This window comes from Homo sapiens, chromosome 3 (genome assembly GCF_000001405.40).
Source record: "Homo sapiens chromosome 3, GRCh38.p14 Primary Assembly".
NCBI classification, from domain to species: domain Eukaryota; kingdom Metazoa; phylum Chordata; class Mammalia; order Primates; family Hominidae; genus Homo; species Homo sapiens.
In genome coordinates, this window is record NC_000003.12 from 185,549,497 (window position 1) to 185,565,119 (window position 15,623).

Sequence of the window (15,623 nt, forward strand, 5' to 3'; positions counted from 1 at the left end):
TTGCTATGGGCCAAAATATCGATAGCAGAGTAACTTTTAAAAATACTTATGTCAAGCAGTCTTAATTTAGAACAATATTTTAAAACCTATGTTTGTTTCACCACCTGCAGCTGAAAAACCCTGAGGAATTGTTAAAAATGCAGATTCTAGGCCAGGCACAATGGTATGTGCCTGTAAGTTCCAGATACAGACAGGGCGGGAAAATTTTTGAGACAGGGTCTTGTTCAGCCAGGCTGAAGTGCAGTGGCTACTCAGAGGCACAGTCATAGCTCACTGCAGCCTCCAACTCCTGGGCTCAAGCGATCCTCCCACCTCGGCCTCCCCAAGTGCTGGGACTACAGATGTGAGCCCCTAGGACCAACCAAAAAAATTTTTTAAGATGTAGATTCCAGGATCTCACTCCCAGATCTACTAAGTTTGGATTTTTGGAGGTGGAGTCTGCATTTTAATCAAGCCCTCAGGGGATTCTAGTGTACTTTAGTTTGTTAGCCATTGCTTTGTTCACTGGTAAGATTATGGCAAACATTCCTAACATTATTTCACAAAGATTAGAAAACAAAACAAACATTTCTGAAACTGAATGACTTGTATCCTTGGGATTTCTGAAGCCCATTTTAATGCTTGTTAATTTTTGAACTGCAAGCAGAAGGGAAAAACAAGAAGTCCATGTATTTGAGATTAATAATGTCTGCTACCAGATGAATATTATTCAACACCCTCCCTAATGAAAGTTCCAAGTTTATGGTTTCCTAGACACTGAGAAGACTAGAATTAGCTTACAGCTATACTATTTTTTTTCCTTCTACCTACAGAAGTTTATTCTTGTGTGTCTCTGTCTGCTGAGATTCTATCATGCAGCAGTGACAGTCTTCTAGAATCTAGCAGTAAAACAAGACTTTACTTCTGAGAAGATGCTAAGGAAAAGGAAGGTCACAAAAAAATTAAGTTGCCATTTTTTTCAACTTTATAAATGGAGATACATAATGAAAGACTGGAAGAAGGTACCCACAAGCCATCTTGTGTTTTTGTGTTAGGGTTGTCCCTGACCCATTTAAGATACCTCTACATTTATATTATTATATATTTTTTTTGAGATGGAGTCTCACTTTGTTGCCCAGGCTGGAATGCAGAGGCACGATCTTGGCTCACTGCAACCTCTGCCTCCCAGGTTCAAGAGATTCTCCTGTCTCAGCCTCCCGAGTAGCTGGGATAACAGGTGCATGCCACCAGGCCTGGCTAATTTTGTATTTTCAGTAGAGATGGGGTTCACCATGTTGGCCAGGCTGGTCTTGAACTCCTGACCTCAGGTGATCCACGCGCCTTGGCCTTTCAGAGTGCTGGGATTATAGGCATGAGCCACTGCGCCTGACCATTTATCTTAATTTTTTTAATTTAAAAATGATAATAGGCCGGGCGCGGTGGCTCACACCTGTAATCCCAGACTTTGGAAGGCCAAGGCGGGTGGATCACAGGATTGAGACCATCCTGGCCAACGTGGTGAAACCTCATCTCTACTAAAAATACAAAATTAGCCAGGCGCAGTGGCGCACTCCTGTAGTCCCAGCTATTTGGGAGGCTGAGGCAGGAGAATCGCGTGAACCAGGGAGGGGGAGGTTGTAGTGAGCCGAGATCACGCCACTGCACTCCAGCCTGGATGACAGAGCAAGACTCCATCTCAAAAACAAACAAAAAAAATAATAAACATATACTTTAAAATATCGAGTTCTCAGTTAAAAATATCATCATTGGTATGATTTTAACTTACTAGAAAATCAACTTCAAAACCATATATAAAGAAAAATTTATAGGCCAGAAATCCTAATACTATTTTTCCATTTCCCTTCTAAACTTCATTCACATATGCATACATACATGATTTTAACATAGTTGTAATTATAGTTTACCAACAAATTTAAGTTCTACTTTTTCTACTTTGCATTACTTTAAAAATGTTTGCTTATTTCTGCATATCATCAGAATCAGTTGAAAGGCTACTTTAAAAAAATTAAGTTGATATACTGTCTTTTATCCATTCCTGTATGTAGAAACATTTTGGTTATATCTAGTTTCAAGTTATTGCAAGTAATATAGTTAGACTTATCTCTGCATAGGAGGCTTTTTTCTTTTAAAAGTTATGCATTTAGAATAAATTCCCAGCAATGGTTTTACTAGCTTAAAGTATATGAACATTTTTACAAGTCTTAATATATAACATATTTACCCTTTGCCCTTCAAAAAAATTATATCAACCTTCATTACCACAGCTATCTGAAACAAAACTGAATACCTAAAAAGGTTGCAAAGTGTTGAATTTTATTTTTTTAAGCATTTCACTTTATTTTTGTTACATTATCTGGTACATTAGGGTTTTAATTTTGATTTCTTCATTATGATTAATAATTTTTAAGTTATAAGAATGCCAGGAACCATTCCAAGGAGTTTATCTATATAAAATTATGTTTTCTCTAAGAATAATTTAAATAAACTCTCAATGCATGAAAATATAAAAACCAACCCTTGATATATTAAATATAAGATAGATTTTTATATTTCCAGAAAATAAATCATCTCATTTCACAGAACTAGAAAGGCACAGATAAATAGGCTAAGAAAGAAAATAAGACTTCTAGATTTTTCAGCATATTTGATTGTTGTAAATAAGAAGAAATTAATTCAAAGACATAATAGCTTCTTTTATTATTGAGAAATTTTTTTCAGGATGAGAAAGTTCATCTAACCTGTATCTTTTTTTTTTTTTTTTAAGGAAATGTTAAGGAAATGATACAGGCTTCCTATATCTTTTTCCTTAAAAACGACTCTATGGACTTAAGTTCACCGAAGGAAGTGGAATGATGACATGCAAAATGACAACACAACTAATTCTATTTTTTAAGCAGTTAAGAAAACCAGTTTGTAAATAACCTACCTGATCTTGACAAGCACAACAAACTGATGAATAAGTAGAATCTCAACATATGGAAACTGGAGAGATCGTGTGTCACATTCACAAGAATGATTTACTTCGCAGAGGCTTAAGAGTTTCCACTGTGGGATTTTGCTCACAGTGAGCTCAGACGACTCAGAGGTGTGGTGACAACAGGAAGTTCCCTAGGGACTGACTGCAGGCAGTCCCAACCCTTTCAGGATCTTTGACTCCTCCTCTTTTCAATAAAAGGTCACTCATTGTCTACTTTATACAATTTTGTGCATATCTTAATATTATAATCTGCATCTGCAGAATGACGAGTTCAGAATAGTTTCATTCTTCGTGGGCGGTTTATTAGTTGTTTGGCTTGGTGTGTTGAAACCAAGTGTGACTTGAGATCTTTTCCCCTTGGTTCTTGTGAATGAAATAACAAATCCAGTTTGTATCTGTTGGCCTGTATATACAAAACCAGTTTTTATGTTAATTCATACACTCATTCATCATAGGGCAGTCTTTAGATTTTAAGAACATTTCATTAGGTCCAATTATACATCTACATTTGCCAAAATATATGTATGCTTCAGATTAAAAGAAACTTTTTTTGGTATTATATATCTTTATTTGTATTTCTTCCTACCGAGAATTTCTACAGCTCTAATAGGTCTTTTTTAAAAAAGAAAAACAGGCCGGCACGGTGGCTCACGCCTGTAATCCCAACACTTTGGGAGGCTGAGGCGGGTGGACTGCTTGAGGTCAGGAGTTTGAGACCAGCCTGGCCAACATGGCGAAACCGTCTCTACTAAAATTACAAAAATTAGCCGGGTGTGGTGACACGCACCTGTAATCCCAGCTACCTCAGGAGGCTGAGGCACAAGAATTGCTTGAACCCGGGAGGCAGAGGTTGCAATGAGTCCAGGTCACATCACTGCACTTCAGCCTGGGCGACAGAGTGACTGTCTCAAACAATAAATACATAAATAAAAAGGAAAAATAAATGAAAAACTTTCAAATAGAACCCCATGCCAGAATCTATGTATCTCAGGGATAGAGGTAACTAAACTTGTGCTTCATAGCTCCAAGGTAATTTAATTCCCTTTCTGGCGAGAGTGCTTGCAACACTAACTCAGGCTTCTAGTGGTCTGATGAGCTTAAAAATCAATTAATAAGCCGGGCGCGGTGGCTCAAACCTGTAATCCCAGCACTTTGGGAGGCCGAGGCGGGCGGATCACGAGGTCAGGAGATCGAGACCATCCTGGCTAACACGGTGAAACCCCCTCTCTACTAAAAATACAATTAGCCGGGCGTGGTGGCGGGCGCCTGCCAGCTACTCGGGAGGCTGAAGCGGGAGAATGGCGTGAACCTGGGAGGCGGAGCTTGCAGTGAGCCAAGATCGCTCCACTGCACTCCAGCCTGTGCAACCGAGCGAGACTCCGTCTCAAAAAAAATAAATAAATAAAAAATAATAAAAAACATTAATATGCTGGGCGCGGTGGCTCATGCCTGTAATCTCAGCACTTTGGGAGGCTGAAGGGGGTGGATCGCTTGAGCCCAGGAGTTCCAGTCCAGCTTGGGCAACATGGCAAAAACCCATCTCTGAAAAAAAATACAGACATTCTTTAGTGCACCTGTGGTCCCAGCTACTAAGGAGGCTGAAGTGGGAGGATCACCTGAGCCCAGGAAGCAGGAAGTTGCCATGAGCCAAAATCATACCACTGCACTCCAGCCTGGGTGACAGAGTGAGACCCCGTCTCTAAATAAATAAATAAATAAATAATAAAGACGCAACTTAAGAAAACATTTCATCCAAAGCATCAGGCAAAAGCAATTAGTCATTTAGCATTGTCTACCTGAAGTATGGGTTTGTGAAGTAATAGTACCGCTCATATAAGTTTATCTATTAGTTCTCTTCATGTTCCCACCCCATTTGAGTAGCAGGAGATTCCTTTGCAGGAAGTAGATTCTAGCAATGCTTCCCAAGAAGTCAGTAAGTCAGAATCACCTGGGGGCTTTTAAAAGTACTGTGTGCAGATTTCTGTGTCACACATCAGACCTAATGAATACCAAGACTGCCTAGGGCTGACTTATTATACTAACCTGAGTTCAAATCCCTTGTCTTCCACTAGCTTAGTTGTGTAGACTTAGGCAAAACATTTAAGTTCTTTTTTTTTTTTTTTTTTTTTTTTTTTTTTGTGAGACGGAGTCTCACTGTCGCACACGCTGGAATGCAGTGGCGCGATCTCGGCTCACTGCAGGCTCCACCTCCCGGGTTCACGCCATTCTCCCGCCTCAGCCTCCCGAGTAGCTGGGGCTACAGGCGCCCGCCACCACGCCCGGCTGATTTTTTTGTATTTTTAGTAGAGACGAGGTTTCACCGTGTTAGCCAGGATGGTCTCATCTCCTGACCTCGTGATCCGCCCGCCTCGGCCTCCCAAAGTGCTGGGATTACAGGCGTCAGCCACCGCGCCCGGCCCGCCGCTTTCTTTTCTTTTCTTTTTTTTTTTTTTTCAGACAAAGTCTCACTCTACCACCCAGGCTGGAGTGCAGTGGTGCAAGCTCACTGTAACCTCGAACTCCTAGGCTCAAGTGATCCCCCTGCCTCAGCTTCCCTAGAACTACAGGTGTATGCCACCACGCACGGCTAATTTTGTGATTGTAGAGGTGGGATACTTGCTACATTGCCCAGGCTGGTCTCAGAACTTCTGGATTCAAGTGATATTCCCACCTCAGCCTCCCAAAGTGTTGAGATTACAGGCATGAGTCACCGTGCCTGACCCAACATTTAGGTACTTAAAGTCTGTTTTCTTAGCTGTAAAATGAAGATAATAAAATCACACATTTCACAGGGTTGTTATACGGACTAAATGAGATATTACAGCTAAAGTCCTTAGCACTGCGCTAAGGTGAGCGCTCTGGCAGCTTGATAACTGTTGTTATTATCTAGCTGGCCACACATCTGTACCTTTCCTATCCAGCAGAAGGCAGGCTGCACAATGTTGAGAAGAGAGACTTAGACAGGACTTTTAGGACTGGGGGCACCCTAAGTCTTGGGTCTTCAGGTGAGAGACTTCAGTCACCACTTCAGCCTGTTTTTGGTTTTGGTTTTGTCTCCTGCTTGGAGAAATAAATTAAGGAACTGTGAATAAGTGAAACCAAATAGGTCGGGTGTGATGGCCCAGGCCTGTAATTCCAACACTTTGGGAGGCCAAGGCGGGCGGATCACCTGAGGTCAGGAGTTCGACACCAGCCTGGCCAACATGGTGAAACCTCATCTTTACTAAAAATACAAAAGTGAGCCAGGCGTGGTGGCAAACGCCTATAATCCCAGCTACTTGGAAGGCTGAGGCAGGAGAATCGCTTGAATCTGGGAGGTGGAGGTTGCAGTGAGCCAAGATCGCGCCACTGCACTCCAGCCTGGGCGACAGAGTGAGACTCTGTCTTGACAACAAAAAAAAAAGAAAAACCAAATAGATGGCCTGTTAGCCTGTCTATTTTTCGCTCAGCTTTTGTTTAGTTTAGAGAAAAATTTGCTTTTATTGCTGTAAGCTTTACTAATTTGAAAACAACTGCCCTCTGGAACAAATGGAGACTTGTTTCACATCTCTTTTAGGAACCTGTTAGGGAATTCCTTGCTCCCTGTTCAATCAGTGTACTTGCCTGATAAATATTTGTTAGGTCCTGTGAGTTTTAAGTACCATGCCAAGTGCTTATCTACACAGAGCTAATGTACATTTTCCTGGAAACTATCCAATTATAGGAAAGGGAATCATTTCTGTTGGGAGGATTCTTTGTGTTACTTTTTGTTGTTGTTGTTGTTTTTGAAACAGGGTCTCACTCTGTCATCCAGACTTGAGTGCAGTGACTCCATCACAGCTCACTGGTCTTGACCTCCTGGGCTTAAGGGATTCTCCCACCTCAGCCTCCTGAGGAGCTGGGGTCACAGGCACATGTCACCATGCCCTGCTAATTTTTTAATGTTTTTGTAGAGATGGTGTCTCACAGTGTTGCCCAGGCTGGTCTCAAACCCCTGGACTCAAGCAGTCCTCCCGCCTTAGCCTCTCAAAGTGCTGGGATTACAGGCATGAGCCACCGTGCCTGGCCTCTTTGTGTTACTATTAACGATTTTCCTGCTGGTGGGCACAGAAGGTCTCTAACTTCTTAACGTGCTCCTTTCTATTTTAGGCTTTCAGAACAGCACAAAAATCGATGGGAGAATCTGTCCCTTATTTTTTTGCAATAGTGAGAAATATCAAATATAAGAAAACATAAAACATTCCCGAGAATGGGGAGAGGAGAGGCAGGGAGGAGAGGAGAATGGGTTTGACTGTAGAAGAATCTTTTAGTTGGCCAGGCTCATGCCTGTAATCCCAGCACTTTGGAAGGCCGAGGCAGGTGGATCACCTTTGTCAGGAGTTGGAGACGAGCCTGGCCAACATGGTGAAACCCCGACTCTACTAAAAATACAAAAGTTAGCTGGGTGTGGTGGCAGGTGCCTGTAATCCCAACTACTCGGAAGGCTGAGGCAGAAGAATTGCTTGAACCCAGGAGGTAGAGGTTGCAGTGAGCCGATATTGTGCCATTGCACTCCAGCCTGGGTGACAAGAGCAAGACTCCATCTTAAAAAAAAAAAAATCATCTTTTAGTGATGAAATAATTGTGTATCTTAATTGTGGTAGTGGCTATGTGGTGGTGGACAGGTGATAAAATAGCACAGAACTACACACATTTACATGTGAAACTCTAAATGAGATCTGTGGATTGTCAACCAGGGTCAATTTTTTTGTTTTGCTTATTTTTATATTGATTTTTTATTTTTTTGAGACAAGGTCTCACCCTGTCACCCACCACAACCTCCAACTCTTGGGCTCAACTGATCCTCCACCTCAGCCTCCTGAGTAGCTGGGACCATAGGCACAAGCCACTGCACCTATTTTTGTAACTTTCTGAGAACCAATAATTATTTTTATTTTCTTTTAGTTTTCTTTTTTTTTTTTTTGTGACAGTCTTGCTCTGTAGCCCAGGCTAGAGTGTAGTGGTGCAACCTCGGTTCACCACAACCTCCGCCTCCCAGTTTCTAGCTATCCTCCTGCCCCTCAGCCTCCTGAGTAGCTGGGATTACAGGCATGTGCCACCACGCAGAGCTAATTTTTGTATTTTTTAGTAGAGACAGCGTTTTGCCATGTTGGCCAGGCTGGTCTCAAACTCCTGGACTCAGGTGATCCACTCTCCTCGGCCTCCCAAAGTCCTGGGATTACAGGTGTATGCCACCAGGCCCGACCCAAAAATTATTTCAAAATAAAGTTTTCCAGGCTGGGCGTGGTGGCTTATGTCTGTAATCCCAGCACTTTGGGAGGCTGAGGTGGGTGGATCACCTGAGGTCAGGAGTTCGAGACCAGCCTCACCAATATGATGAAATCCCGTCTCTACTAAAAATACAAAAAAATTCACCAGGTGTGGTGGCTTATGCCTATAATCCCAGCTACTTGGGAGGCTGAGACAGGAGAATTGCTTGAACCCAGGAGGTAGAGGTTGGGAGGCAGAGGTTGTGGTGAGCTGAGGTTGTGCCATTGCACTCCAGCCTGGGAAACAAGAGTGAAACTCCGTCTCAAATATACACACACACACACACACACACACACACACACACACAAATTAGCTGGGCATCGTGGCAGGCGCCTGTAATCCCAGCTACTCGGGAGGCTGAGGCAGGAGAATCGCTTGAACCCGGGAGGTGGAGGTTGCAGTGAACCGAGATTGCGCCACTGCATTCCAGTCTGCACAACAGAGCAAGACTCAGTCTCAAAAAAAAAAAAAAAGAACTTTTCCACAATTTTAAAAGATGAGTCAACTCATAATCATTTGAAATAATTTATTCAAAAGTATTCTAAGAAAAAGCATTTCTTCATTTCCAATCAGTTAATTACTATTTTCTCAATTCTATGACCTCCTGATTACAACTCAAGAATACCACAGTTTTCCTAGTTTCCAATCTAGAAACCTATGGGTTTTTCTTCTTCTTTATTAAACCTAGAAGTCACTTGCTACAGAGAACATATTTAAAAGGTACAGGCAAGCTTCCAAACGCATGGACAGGAAAAACAGGTATGAAGTGTAATGGAACTAAGGGGTGGAGATTTTATAACTCTCATTTGTTTCAACAGCCAAGAAAGGTGACCTACGTCCCCACCCGCCCAGGTCTAGGGCTCCAAGCTGGTATATGACTCACTATAACACCCTTTGGTCTTCCCTTCCACATCAGTGACCCTGCCATTTCTCACTTGCAGTCCAAGTTTGGAAAGATAAGTGGGTTTCTTCAATTCATATCCTGCAAAGAGATAAGGGTAACTTTCCCCAATTCCATTTATTTGTTTCATTTCATCATTCCCTCATTTATGGAACATTTCTGGAGCTCTCAGTACAAGAAATAAGGAAGAAATAGAACATGCTCCTTCCCTCAAGAAGATAGACACATTAACAATGAAAATGGTAATAATAATGCTAATATAGGCCAGCATGGTGGCTCATGCCTGTGATGCCAACTGTGGGGGGCGCAAGGCAACATAGTCAAGCTTATGTACAAGGCATTTGAGGTCGGGGCATGGAAAAATACTGAGGCGCTGTGTGTATGTTATTTGTGCATGAGAATGAAACTCGACCCTGAAAACAGGACAGGGAGTGGAGTGTGTGGTGTGATAAGGAACGCTGAAAACAGCCTCCTGAGAATGCAGTTTGAGTGCTTTTACAAGGCCACAGGTGCCTCACGACCCGACCTCAAAAACGCCATCTAGTGGATGTTTGTGGTTTAACAAGCCCTTTCAATAAATACTTGGCGGACGGATGCCGGGGCGGACTCTCTTAGAAGAGCTACCCCGCAATGCCGGGCGCGGTGGCTCACGCCTGTAATCCTAGCACTTTGGGAGACGGAGAGGGGTGGATCACGATTCAAGACCAGCCTGGTCAAGATGATGAAACCCCGTCTCTACTAAAAATACAAAAAAATTAGCCGGGCGTGGTGGCAGGTGCCTGTAATCCCAGCTACTCGGGAGGCTGAGGCAGAGAATTGCTTGAACCCAGGAGGCAGAGGTTGCAGTGAGCCGAGATCATGCCACTGCACTCCAGCCTGGGCAACAGAGCGACTCCGTCTCAAAAAAAAAAAAAAAAAAAGAAGAGCCACCCCCCATTCTAACTGGCGTGAGATGGTATCTCATCGTGGTTTTGATTTGCATTTCTCTAATGACCAGTGATGATCTTTTCTCGTGTCTGTTGGCTGCATAAATGTCTTCTTTTGAGAAGCGTCTGTTCACACATCGGGGCCTGTGGTGGAGTGGGGGGCTAGGGGAGGGATAACATTAGGAGAAATACCTAATGTAGGTGACGGGTTGATGGGTGCAGCAAACCAGGGCACGTGTATACCTGTGTAACAAAACTGCACGTTCTGCACATGTAACCCAAAACTTAAAGTATAGTTAAAAAATAAATAAGAGCTGCCCCCCGCCCCGCTCAGCTGGAATTGTCTGAGAACCCATTTCGTGGCATTCATTGTAAACTATAAGCTCTGCAAGTGGTGTCCCCGACATGATCGCCTTAAAGTTACGTGTGAAGGAGGAGAGCTCATCAATTTTCGGTGAATCTCCACCTGAAAAGAATTCAGAAGATTTAAAGGGAGAGATTCCTGACTCCTATCAGGAGGACACGACCCACACGTAAAATATCAGGTGTTGAGTTATCATGGGTCAGGAAATGACCAAAGAACAGAAAGTTTTTTTTGTTTGTTTGTTTGTTTTGATATGGAGTCTCGCTCTGCCGCCCAGGCTGGAGTGCAGTGGCGCGATCTCCGCTCACTGCAAGCTCCGCCTCCCGGGTTCACACCATTCTCCTGCCTCAGCCTCCCGAGTAGCTGGGACTACAGGCGCCTGCCAGCCTAGTAGAGACGGGGTTTCACCGCGTTAGCCAGAGTGATCTCGACCTCCCGACCTCGTGATCCGCCCGCCTCCGCCTCCCAAAGTGCTGGGATTACAGGTGTGAACCACTGCGCCCGGCCCAGAAAGTATTTTTAAAACAGTGCAACAGCTATTTAAGGCTGTCCAGTGCACTGTAGAGCCTGGAGCTCTACACAAGCTCATGCTTTTAATTCGGCAGGAATGTCCTTGGTTTCCTGATCAAGGAACCTTAGATTTAGAGCTATGGGAGCAGGTAGGTCGCTGCCTGAAAAGAGGATATGAGCAAGGTCATTTTACTAATTTTACTATTTTGACCACCTGGGCGCTGGTACACTCTGCGTTGTATCCTCTTTATCTGCCAGATCGCGGTTAGACGGCCCATTATCTCCACCTGAAAATAATTCAGAAGATTTAAAGGGAGGGATTCCTCTCTCCACTTCATTCCCTTCTATGGGGAATAAGGAAGAGATTTTTTCTAGTGAGGAAAGACAGGAACCAGAACAGCGGGGGCGGGGCAGTGCTCCTCTCTCTACTTCATTCCCTTCTGTAGAGAGGCCTAAGGAGGACATTTTTTCTAGTAAGGATAAGGCGACCGGAGCCTTTTCCTCCCCCTATAGAAAACCCATTGCCCTCCTTTCCTCCACCCTTCAAGGGACCTGCGTTTGTTGGCCCCGTTCGTTCGGCCAACAGCACCTCCCATCCCCCTTAAGGAGACTAGAGGCCGCCCAAGGGACAGTTCTTAGATAAGACCCCCTGGTCAGCGAACATCGGTATGATCGGGTGACCACGTCTCTCAACCAACTTCCCTGCTGGAGGGGTGCCTCCAGGAGGGAAGGAAAGTGGCTGATTATGATTGTCCTCCTAATATGCAAGTTCCCATTTCCTATTTCCAGCATCAGCCTTTCTGGCCTTGTCTTTTTTCTGTTTTTCTGGAGTACGAGGGGAGTTTGCATGCTGCCTCCTGGGTTTTATTCCAGCTAGCTGTAGCTTTCTTGCTGCCTACAGAGGCCTGGGGCAGGAGAGTTGCTAAGATGCCAGGGAGTGCCCATTTGGTCACTGGCAGTCTGGGCAGGTTACCCCTTTCTGGGTTTATGGTGACGGAGGGGAGGCCAAAAGGCACAGAGCAGGCAGCTCCAGCCAGGTCCTGAGGATCCGCCTCACCACGGTCACGTGCCTTAGTAACTGTGCCCAGGAAGTGGCCTGCTGCTGCTTTTCCTACTTCTGCCCTTCCCTGCCACCCCTCGCATGTCTCAGTTGACAAGCAATTTGTTGTCTTCCCTGGCCCCCTAGGGAAAGCGGTAAAAAACAGTCCATGTGCACCCCAACCTTACTAGCCTAAGGTGGGCAAAGGAGTGTGAAGCAGCCTAGAGTACAGAGCCCTGGGGGAGGAGCCCGCTAATAAGGGGCGCTCTCCTGTAGCCATATATTAAATGCTAACTAGGCTAAGGTGGAGGAGCTCTGCCAGCTGCTGTCATCTTCAGAAGACAGACACAGCAGTAAGGAATGTTTGTTTTGCTTTTTTATAAAATGTTTAAAAACACTGTGGCTAAGAAACTTCAAAGCAGACCCTGTGCTGCATGTGTGCTCCTCCCCTAAGCCCCTCTGCTTGGGGGTGGTAAAAATAATAAAAAGAACATTTTCAGTACCTTACCTAACAGGGTTGGCTCCAGGCGTAGGTGGCCTAGAAGATAAGGGGAGTGGTTTTCTCCCAGCCTGTTACTCTCTTGCCTCCAGCCTCCGCGCTTACACACACACTTTACCACCCTGTCATTCTCTAGCCTCTTACTGCCACTTGTAGTCTTCCTTCCTTCCTCTTAGGGTAAGGACAGCAACAAGTGGCAGGCTATTAAAAATAGAAGCTGCCTAAGGAGCCCAGAACGAATAAAAAGAAACCAGCCACAACCCTACTTTCCCGAGCTCACTTCTAAGACATTCCAGCTAAAGGCTGATGCAGGAAAATGGCCAACACCAAAGGACATTTTTTAAAGTTTTTTTTTTTTTTTTCTGTTTTCTACACACTTAAGCTAACTCAATGCAGGTTTATTATCCTGGCGACTTGCAGTCACATTCTAATGACTTTCAAGGGCCAAAATATAGTAAAAATCACTTAAAATATCCATCCCTTCCATGCCTTAGTTTAACAGGTAGGCTTTATCTTTTGCCATTTCTGTATTTTATGTTATGTACCTGTAGGGGTGGGTTGCCCCTACACACCTGTGGGTGTTTCTCGTAAGGTGGGACGAGAGATTTGGAAAAGAAAAAGACACAGAGACAAAGTATAGAGAAAGAAAGAAGGGGACCCGGGGAACCAGCGTTCAGCATATGGAGGATCCCGCCAGCCTCTGAGTTCCCTTAGTATTTATTGATCATCTGTGGGTGTTTCTCGAAGAGGGGGATGTGTCAGGGTCACAAGACAATTGTGGGGAGAGGGTCAGCAGACAAACACGTGAACAAAGGTCTTTGCATCATAGACAAGGTAAAGGATTAAGTGCTGTGCTTTTAGATATGCATACACATAAACATTTCAATGCTTTACAAAGCAGTATTGCTGCCCGCAGGTCCCACCTCCAGCCCTAAGGCGGTTTTTCCCTATCTCAGTAGATGGAGCATACAATCGGGTTTTATACCGAGACATTCCATTGCCCAGGGACGGGCAGGAGACAGATGCCTTCCTCTTGTCTCAACTGCAAGAGGCATGCCTTCCTCTTATACTAATCCTCCTCAGCACAGACCCTTTACGGGTGTCGGGCTGGGGGACGGTCAGGTCTTTCCCTTCCCACGAGGCCATATTTCAGACTATCACATGGGGAGAAACCTTGGACAATACCTGGCTTTCCTAGGCAGAGGTCCCTGCGGCCTTCCGCAGTTTTTGTGTCCCTGGGTACTTGAGATTAGGGAGTGGTGATGACTCTTAAGGAGCATGCTGCCTTCAAGCATCTGTTTAACAAAGCACATCTTGCACCGCCCTTAATCCATTTAACTCTGAGTTGACAGAGCACATGTTTCAGAGAGCACAGGGTTGGGGGTAAGGTTATAGATTAACAGAATCTCAAGGCAGAAGAATTTTTCTTAGTACATAACAAAATGGAGTCTCCTATGTCTACTTCTTTCTACACAGACACAGTAACAATCTGATCTCTCTTGCTTTTCCCCACATTTCCCCCTTTTCTTTTCGACAAAACCACCATCATCATCATGGCCCGTTCTCGATGGTCGCTGTCTCTTTGGAGCTGTTGGGTACACCTGCAGACTAACAACAGACAAAACAGGCACACAGGGATTAATATGAGATTTATAATCGTAGTACTTCCAATGGTCTTAACCCAAGTGACAGGGTTAAGATTTTCGAGGCCATCAGCAACTCCTGCAATTGCCTCAGTTCCTGGCACCAAATTTAAATGGGCTTTTGATGCTTCGAAAATTTGTTCTTTTAATTTGGAAATGTCTAAAGTGAGATTATCTTCTCTTCCCTGTAGATGGTGTCTAACCATGTCCCAGTGATGCTCAGACTCATTATAAATTTGGGGTGTAATACAAAAATCTGATGTATTCCAGTCACACTGTAACTGGAAACGATGTTCTAAGCTCATGAGCCTGTCTCCCATCCAAATGACAGTTTGTCTAAGATCATTAATTTGATTTGCCAATTTTTGATCAATACTAGATTGTGAATTCCACAATCTTGTAGAATTTTTTTGCCAATGATTAACAAAGTTTACTGACTGAACAGAAGAGTGCAATGCAACTCCTGCTACAGCAGCCGTAGCTGTGACTGCAATTAATCCCATAATCACTGCAATTAAAGTAAAAATGAATCTTTTGGATCTATTTAAAACACCTTTTAATACTTCAGTCAAAATATGGACGGATGGTGAGGCCTCCCACGGTCGGTCCATGGACACAGGGATCCACACGCCCTCTCTTGCTCTCACCAGCAGAATACGGTGTTGCCAATTAAAAGTTGAATCAATGCAAGTAAGCAATCTACAATTTTCACAGGTTATAGTTTGAGAGTCTGGTTTAATAACTATATTTCCTACAACTAGCATATAAGGGGGCTTTACGCAACTTTGTAAAGGAACTGTTAGACTGGAATTTAGGTCGACAGTATAAAATGGCTTACGATCTCTTGTTTCTAAAGTTTGATTTCCAGACCAAATTCTAATGTGGTGTGAGGCCACAGTAAGCCTCCATAATTCTGGATGTTCAGGACCAGAAACAGGACTTATTATTTTTGGTCTTGGGGTAGAGATTCCTTTTTCTCCCCATTCCCAAGGGTAGAAAGACTGCAATTTTTTATGCTTATGTTTGTCTAAACTTTCTGTTAAGTCGCTATCAACAGCTGGACTCACTTGTGCACTTGGACACGACTGAGTTTGTCCTGAGCAATTGTGGTAGAATTGACCTCGAGGTACCCAATCTATAATAGTTCCGAATTCATTGTTTTGTAATATCACCGCACTATTGGCCACACATTCTTCCCAAACTAAAACTTCTGTATTTTTTGATTCTTTGGGAATTTCCTTGGGGCAAGGTTTCCCTTTAGGTCTAAATTTTAATGATCTTTGATAAGAAAAGTCTTATAAATAATTTACCCGTGGCCTGAGTGACATCCCGCTTACCATGTGATAAGTGAATCTACAGATGGGACTGACAATAGGTACTTCTACCAACCAATTTTGGACTGTGGGCATTAAACATCCTGGTGCTCTCCCTAGGCAAATAGGAGGATAACGATACCCAATGGAAATATTTATCAT

General features: G+C 43.8%; 1 protein-coding gene across 4 annotated transcripts in view, besides 4 other annotated features; it reads right to left on the minus strand.

The window, feature by feature from the left end:
* The window catches only part of LIPH (lipase H), a 46,327-nt gene extending 43,235 nt beyond the window's left edge, over positions 1-3,092 (minus strand). For all 4 annotated transcript variants that reach the window (NM_001438029.1, NM_001438651.1, NM_139248.3 and 1 more), the window contains exon 1: positions 2,927-3,092. In NM_001438029.1, the coding sequence (NP_001424958.1) occupies positions 2,927-2,975 (49 nt within the window). In that variant the 5' untranslated portion in view covers positions 2,976-3,092. The remainder of the gene's footprint in view (positions 1-2,926) is intronic.
* Positions 3,102-3,181: an enhancer, noted in NCBI's record as "active region_20926". NCBI's record gives its function as "activates an Ori minimal core promoter by ATAC-STARR-seq in GM12878 lymphoblastoid cells {active_cell/tissue: GM12878}" and the evidence as "EXISTENCE:reporter gene assay evidence [ECO:0000049][PMID:35858748]".
* Positions 5,333-6,008: an enhancer, noted in NCBI's record as "H3K27ac hESC enhancer chr3:185272617-185273292 (GRCh37/hg19 assembly coordinates)". NCBI's record gives its function as "activates a minimal SCP1, AML or CMV promoter by ChIP-STARR-seq in primed H9 embryonic stem cells {active_cell/tissue: H9 hESC(primed)}" and the evidence as "EXISTENCE:reporter gene assay evidence [ECO:0000049][PMID:30033119]".
* Positions 13,451-14,064: an enhancer, noted in NCBI's record as "OCT4-NANOG-H3K27ac hESC enhancer chr3:185280735-185281348 (GRCh37/hg19 assembly coordinates)". NCBI's record gives its function as "activates a minimal SCP1, AML or CMV promoter by ChIP-STARR-seq in primed H9 embryonic stem cells {active_cell/tissue: H9 hESC(primed)}" and the evidence as "EXISTENCE:reporter gene assay evidence [ECO:0000049][PMID:30033119]".
* Positions 14,065-14,678: an enhancer, noted in NCBI's record as "H3K27ac hESC enhancer chr3:185281349-185281962 (GRCh37/hg19 assembly coordinates)". NCBI's record gives its function as "activates a minimal SCP1, AML or CMV promoter by ChIP-STARR-seq in primed H9 embryonic stem cells {active_cell/tissue: H9 hESC(primed)}" and the evidence as "EXISTENCE:reporter gene assay evidence [ECO:0000049][PMID:30033119]".